Source organism: Homo sapiens, chromosome X (genome assembly GCF_000001405.40).
Source record: "Homo sapiens chromosome X, GRCh38.p14 Primary Assembly".
NCBI classification, from domain to species: domain Eukaryota; kingdom Metazoa; phylum Chordata; class Mammalia; order Primates; family Hominidae; genus Homo; species Homo sapiens.
Window position 1 is genome coordinate 83886949 of NC_000023.11, and position 8390 is coordinate 83895338.

The window sequence follows — 8390 nt, forward strand, 5'->3', positions numbered from 1 at the left end:
GGAAGCAGATCTTCCACACCCTTAAGAGAAATAGAGAATATACATAGATATTAACCCCTGACAAAAATTTTTTGTTTGGCCAAACTTTCATCATACTCCTGAACCATATCCTAGGCCTATCTAGGCATTTCCCTTGTAAAATCCGTTTTAGCAAAAAAGCTGCTAAATCAGTTTATCAAGAGTCTTACACCCTTAATAACTGATCCTTCAATATGTGATCGGGTTTCTCATCATCCATCATCTTCCAGGTGATTTCTCATCACCCTAGAATCCTGTTAAGTCAGTATAGCCAGAATCCCCCCTTATCCCCGATGTTACCTCTCAGTAATTTTCCATCCACTGACTAGCACCCTGCTTTTTGACTATAAATTCCTACTTGCTCATTCTATATTCAGAGTTGAGCCCAATCTCTCTCCTCCAGTGAAATACCCCATTCCCATGGTCCCTACACCTATCCAATGATAGCTTCCCTTTGAAGAAAGTCTGCTTACCATCTTCAATGAGTGTCAGTGAATATGTTTTTCTTTAACACCTTACCTCCTCTACACACATACACATATAGAATTCTAAACTTAATTATTTACTTTTATTTCTTTTTCTCCTTATTTATTTATTTACTGATAAACTGCAAATGTTCATGAGATAATAACACACATATCTCAATCATTTTACATATTTCTGTGAATATGCTTGTCACATTATTTCCTGAGAACAGGATACTGGTATGGAAGGAAAGAGAGAGAGAAATAGACAGAGATAAGTATGGCAGCCTCCTTTACTTCACCCAGTCTGCTTTGTACCTTTTGGTTATAATCTTTTTTTTATTATTATACTTTAAGTTCTAGGGTACATGTGCACAACGTGCAGGTTTGTTACATATGTATACATGTGCCATGTTGGTGTGCTGCACCCATTAACTCGTCATTTACATTAGGTATATCTCACTTCAGTTTGCTCTCAGAAATGACAACATTTCAGATCCAATTCTTAAAGAGGTGTTATTTTTCTAAGCCATTTAATAACTTTACATATGTCTATATAACATATACTTTAAAAAGTTATAAGAAAAGTTTAGAAACAATCCAATTAGCCCTCAATAAATGATTTGCTGAATATATGACAGTTCTTCAACACAATGTAATGCCTTGTGAATGTGAAAAAGAATAATAAAGCTCTCTATGTAGTGACCTAGAAAGAGCTTCAATATAAATTTAAGTGAAAAAAATCAATGTGCAAAAGAGAGGATATGCTATGTTATTTATAGGGTTTTTAAAAGAAGGGAAGAGCTGACATATATTTGCATTTGCCTATATTTGCATAAAGAGACTCTGGTAGTATAAAAAATAAAATAATAAAAGTGGTTACCTATAATAGAGGAGTGGTATTTGAAGAAATGACAGGTTAGAGAAACAGATGAAGTTTCGACCTAATACTAATATTCAGCCAGTACACATTGAATGAGCCGTAATGGTTGATAAAATACTACAATATTTCTAAATCATTTGGTAAATGGCAACTACACTGTTCACCACCCCTTCCCCTCGACACCTTGAATGCTGCTCAGTCTTCTCTCTTGGAACATCAGGGATCCTCCAGGAATCAAAAGCAAAGACATAATTACAAGTATAAAAGACGTATTCAGTGAAACACTTGTGAAAGGTAAAAGGAGAGAGAGCCGAAGTAGGTAAGAAGAGACTGTAGACTGCCATGCAAGCTGGCATCCATGAAAGGAGAAAGGAAACAAAAGAGCCTCAGCTGTATTGAAGCTCAGGGAAAATCTCAGGCAGGCCAATGGGGAGCCCAGAGCAAAGACTGCTCTTTAGAGGAATCTGTGTTGGGCAGAAATAGCCAGGCCTTAGTACTGTCACAGTGCTTAATCATTGTCTGGGAGAAGTCCAGTGGGAGTGTAGCCGCAGCTTGAATATTGGTGAATCTCAAATGAGCACAGGCTGTCAGCTGATGCTATTCCTCAGAAAAATCTCCCCTGAAGTGAGATCTGAGCAGCAATTTCCCTTGACCATCACAGCACAAATCCATTTCTTTATCCGTATTCACTCCTCAAAAGTTCTATGGGCTTCTCCTCCTTAGGGAAAACTTAAAAGAGGAAGGGTAGAGGAAAAACCATAGTCCTTATCCTTCCAGTTGATCTTAGGGCCACAACTGGTCTGGTCTGGTCTCCTACATTGTTCATCTTAAATTCCTCTCATTCTCCTATGTGTCTTACCTGGTGTTATAATCTGAAATTTCATTTCTGAAGGGTCTGAACCCTTAGTAATTGTAACCTTCTCGGGTTCCATTCACAGTTAAAATTGGGCAAGGGATTCAAAGAGAAGCCTAAATGGATCATGTGGCTTCCACCAATATCCTTTCCTTTCCACATTGTAAAAAGCAACTCTACCTCCCCTCTGCTTATCAGATTAAATTAGCCTTCTCAAAATGGTGATTCTTTTCAACATCTGGTTTCTAGGTATAAGGAGTCCAAAGATCCCTAGCAACAGCTGTAACTTGTCCTTCAATGGGACTCTTGTATGTCCCTTGGCAAGCTTTATGTCCCCCTTTTGGGATAAGGACTTATAACTCTGTAAAGCCCAGAGCTGCTGTGACAAGAAGCACATGGGCTCCCAGTGAGTCATTTTGAGAATGGTGGCAAGTGGGGCCACTCTTGATTCTATCCCTTTTGGCATATGTGTTTTTCCTATTGAGGATAAAACACCATATAGAAATATCTGTTTTAATTCTTATACTGCATCTCACGGACAGCACTCCATCTTGCAGAGTATTGCATCCGAGCTCATACTTCATCACTGTGACTTCAGTAGGCCATTCAAGCTCTCTGTGAAGTTGGCTGCTTCTCAATGGTGCAGTATGTAGTATGACTGTGTACATCATGGTCATGGGCCCACTTCCATACCTCCTTTACAGTTTAATACCCTGGTCAGATGTTATTCTTCCTCAAGGATACCCCTGAGTTTGGCTGTAATGCAAGTGCTGTTCATTTTCAGCTAGAACCCACATACTCAGCCGAAATATTTATAAACCAAGCTCAGGCATATTTTTCCTCCTTCATATGGCCATAGGTGCAAGCTGAAGAAGGATGCTGGAGCCAGCACAGTAGATGATATGGAGGTCTGTAGTACCTGCTCATGAAGCTTACTTATACTCTCTAGTCCTACTCACAAATGATCCCAGAGTGACCATATTCCACTTTTGGGTATCTTTACAGCAGCATCACACTCCTGGTACCAATTTACTGTATTAGTCTGTTCTCACATTGCTAATAAAGACATATCCGAGACTGGGTAATTTATAAAGGAAAGAGGTTTAATGGACTCACAGTTTCACATGGCTAGGGAAACCTCACAATCATGGCCAGAGACGAAGGAAGAACAAAGACATGTCTTACATGGTAGCAGGTAAGAGAGCTTGTGCAGGGGAACTCCCGTTTATAAAACCAACAGATCTCATGAGACTTATTCACTATCACAAAAACAGTATGAGAAGGACCTGCCCCATAATTCAATTACCTCCCACCAGGTCCTTCCCATGACATGTGGGAATTATGAGAGCTACAATTCAACATGAGATTTCGGTAGGGACATAGCCAAACCATATCAACAAATAATGAGCACAGTGTCTGATAGGTAATTTTTCAATCCTCATTCTCCCCCCACCCTCCACTCTCAAGTAGTCCCCAATGTCTGCTGTTGCCTTCTTTGGGTCCATATATACTTGATGTTTATCTCCCACTTATAAGTGAGAACATGCAGGATTTAGTTTTCTGTTTTCATTTAATTCACTTATAATAATGGCCTCCAGCTCCACCATCTTGCTGCAAAGAACATGATCTCTTTCTTTTGTATGGCTGTGTAGTGTTCCATGGTGTATATTACCACATGTTTTATATCCAATCTACAGTTGATGGACATTTAGTTTTATTTCATATCTTTGCTAGTGTGAATAGTGCTGTGATTAACATAGGCATGCATGTGTATTTATGGTAGAATGATTTATATTCCTATGGGTATATACCTAATAATTGGAATGCTGATTTGAAAGGTAGTTCTGTTGTGAATGCTTTGAGAAATCACAGCAATACTTTCCACAAAGGCTGAACAAATTTACAATCCCACCAGTAGTGTAAAACCGTTCCTTTTCTCTGCAACCTCGCCAGCATCGGTTATTTATTGACTTTTTAATAATGGCTATTCTGGCTGGTGTGAGATGATATCTCTTTGTGGTTTTAATTTGCATTACTCTAATGATTAGTGCTATTGAGCATTTATTCATATTTTTGTCAGCTGCATGTATGTCTTCTTTAAAGAAATGTCTGCTCAAGTCTTTTGCCCACTTTTTAATGGGGCTGTTTGTTTTTGCTCGTAAATTTGTTTAAGTTCCTTATAGATTCTGGATGTTGGACTTTTGTTGGATGCATAGTTTGCAAATACTTTTTCCTGTTCTGTAGGTTGTTTACTCTGTTGACAGTGTCTTTTGCTGTGCAAAATCTCCTTAATTAGGTCATATCTGTCAATTTCTGTTTTTGTTGCAATTGCTTTTGATATCTTCATCGGTGAAATCTTTGACAGTTCCTATATTCAAAATTGCATTTGCTAGGTTATCTTTCAGAAATTTTGTACTTTTACATTTTACATGTAAATCTTTAATACATCTTGAGTTGATTTTTGTATATGGTGTAGGAAGGAGTTCAGTTTCAATCTTCTGCATGTGGCTAGCCAGTTATCTGAGAACCATTTATTGAATAGGGAGTCCTTTTCCCATTGCTTGTTCTCATCAACTTTGACAAAGATCAGATGATTGTAGGTGTGTAGGATTATTTCTGGACTCTCAGTTCTGTTCATTGGTCTATGCTTCTGTTTTTATACCAGTACCATGCTGTTTTGGTTACTTAGCCTTGCATGATAGTTTGAAGTCAGGTAATATGATGCCTCCAGATTTGTTCTTTTTGTTTAGGATTCCCTTGGCTATTTGAGCTGTTTTTTGGTTCCACATGAATTTTAAAATAGTTTTTTTTTAATTCTATGAAGAATGTAATTGGTACTTTCATAGGAATAGCATTGAATCTGTAAATGGCTTTGGGCAGTACGGACATTTTAACAATATTGATTCTTCTTATTCATGAATATGAAAAGTTTCTCCATTTGTTTGTGTAATCTCTGATGTCTTTGAGTTGTATTTTGTAATTCTCATTTTACAGATCTTTCCCTACCTGGTCAGTTGTATTCCTAGCTATTTTGCTCTCTTTATGCCTATTGTGAATTACATTGCATTCTTGATTTGGCTCTTAGTTTGGATGTTGTTTGCGTGTAGGAACGCTACTGATGTTTCTACATTGATTTTTTTTCTCTTCAAATATCTTCTTTTTAATGACTTAAACACCAGCGTGGAGACTTACGGTTTAAACACTCTCGTTTCTTTGCTCCGTGCTTTGGAAGGGATAGGGACTGCATTTCCCACCTTGTCTGAGTGAAGTTAAAACTTTGTCTTGTAAATAAATAAATAATTTCCTAACTAACACCACAAAATACAAACGAGACCTAGTTTCTCTCAAGGGGCAGGTCGTTTCCAGGTACCCACTGTCGCTGCTCCTCTTGAGGGCCTGGCCATACCTGCCACGAGGAGAATGCGGCAAGAATGGCTTCCCTTCTTCTATTTGCTGCTCTCTAGAAGGGCCGAGAATCTGCTTGGGCCTGCCGGGGCTGATGGCGTCTCGCTCTTGAGAAAAATCTTGCTGGGGCAGGTCCTCCGGCAGCACCAGCACTTTACCAAGAGTGATGGGAAACTGAGACTTTGTACAAAACTGCGCTGGCACTCACCGTCTTAGGTAGCAGATTTATAGAGTGAATACTGTGCTTGGGCCTTTTTCATGAAGACTTGGATCCCAGTTCTTGGAGCAGCTGAAAAAATCGGCTCGGGCCACCAGTGGATACACTCACAATGAAATGAGAGGCCGTGTAAGGTTTGCAAGGCGGAATGGCCTGTAGTTTTAACTCGGAAACTGTGGTGACGCAAACCCAAACCAACTGTGCTACTTCTTGCTGGGAGGCAAACTGTTATCAGGCTTTGTTTTCACTCCTTTGGTGCTTGACCTGATTATTTTGAATCCTGAAACGTTGCTGAGTTATTTATGCGATCAAAAAGCCTTTGGACAGAGACTATGGGATTTTCTAGTTAAAGAATCATATCTTCTGCAAACATGAATAATTTCTTCTTCTTTTCCTTTTTGGATGCCTTTTATTTATTGTCCTTGGCTGGTTGCTCTTACCAGGACTTCTAGTATTATGTTGAGCTCTTATATATTCTGGTTATTAATCCCTTGTCAGATGGGTAGTTTGCAAGTATTTTCTCCCATCCTGTAGGTTTTCCCATTACTATGTTGTTTGTTTCCTTTGCTGTGCAGGAGCTTTTTAACATGATTTGATTCTCCTCAATTTCCTTCATCAGTGTCCTAGAGTTTTCATTATAGAGATCTTTTACTTTTTGGTTAATTCCTAGGTATTTAATTTTATGTGTGGTATTGCAAGTGGGGTTACATTTTTATTTCTTTTTCAGCTTGTTGTTTGTTGGCATATAGAACTGCTAGTGATTTGTGTATGTTGATTTTGTATCCTGCAATTTTTGTGAATTCATCACTTCTAGTAATTTTTTGTGGAGTCTTTTTAGGTTTCTCCAAATAAAAAAAAATATCATCTGCAAACAAGGATGATTTGACTTTTTCCTTTCCAATTTGGATATCCTTTATTTCTTACTTGTGTCTAATTGTTCTGGCTATGACTTCCAGTACAATGTTGAATAACAGTAGTGAAAGTGGGTGTCCTTGTAGTTTTCCAGATCTTAGAGGAAAGCCTTCCACTTTTTTTCCATTCATGACACTAGATGTGGGTCTGTGACATATGGCCTTTATTATGTTGAGATATATTCCTTCTAACCCAGTTTTTTGATGGTTTTTGCCATGAAGGGATGTTGAATTTGATTAAATGCTTTATTCAGTATCCATTTAAATGAGCATATGATTTTTGTTCTTTATTCTGTTGATGTGATTTATCACATTGATTGATTTGCATATGTGAAACCATCCTTGCATCCCAGGGATAAATCCTACTTCTTCATGGTGAATGAACTTTTTAACATATTATTGAATTTGGTTTGCTGGTATTGTGTTCAAGATATTTACAACAGTATTCATTAGAGACATTGCCCGCTAGATTTTTTTTTTTTTGTCTTTGTATGGCTTTGGTTTCAGATTAAGAGTGGCCTCATAGAATGAGTTTGGAAGTATCCCTTTCTCCTGTTTTTTTTGGAATAGGTTGAGTAGGGTCAGTATTAGTTGTTCTTTGCTTTGTAGAATTCAGCAGTGAAGCCACTGGGCCCCAGGCTTTTCTTTACAGAGAGATTTTTTGTTATGGTTTCTATCTCATTACTTGTTATTGGTATATTCAGGTTTTGGATTTCTTTCTGGTACAATCTTGGTAGGTTGTACGTGTCTAGGAATTTTTCCAATTTCTTCAGATTTTCCAATTTATTGGCATATTGTTGCACATAGTGGCCACTAATGCTTCATTTAATTTCTGCAGTGGCAGTTGAAATGTCTCCTTTTTCATCTCTGGTTTTATTTATTTGACTCTTCTTTCTTTTTTCTTAGTTAGCTTAGATAAAGTTTCTTAAATTTTGTTTAACTTTTCAAAAAAAACCTTTTAGTTTCATTGATGTTTTCTATTTTATTCATTTCAAATTCATTTATTTTTTCTCTAATCTTTTTTATTTCTTTTCTTCTATTTATTTTAGTTTTGGTTTGCTCTTGCTTTTCTAGTTCTTTAAGATGCACCATTAAATATTTTTATTTGAAAATTTTCTTCTTTTTTTCATGTAGGCAATTATAGCTATACCCTTATGTCTTAGTACTGCTTTTGCAGTATCCCCTAGGTTTTGGTATGTGGTGTTTCCATTAGTTTTTTCAAGCAGTTTTTCAATTGTCTTCTTAAGATTTTTCATTGACCTACTAGTCTTTCAGGAGCATATTGTTTAATTTTCATGTGTTTGCTTACTCTCCAAAATTCCTCTTGTAACTGATTTTTAGTTTTATTCCACTGTGGTCAGCAAAGATCAGAGAAGATGCTTGATGTTATTGTAATTTGTTTTAATATTTTAAGACTTGTTCTGCAGCTTAACATATGGTATATCTTTGATAATCTATGTGCTAAGAAAAAACAATGTGTATTCTGCAGCTGTTGGTTAAAAATGCTCTTTAAATATTTATTTGATCTATTTGGTCTACAGGACAAATTAACTCTGATGTTTCTTGTTGATTTTCTGTCTGGAATATGTGTCCAGTGCTAAAAGTGGGGTGTTGAAGTCTCCAGCTATTATTGTATTGG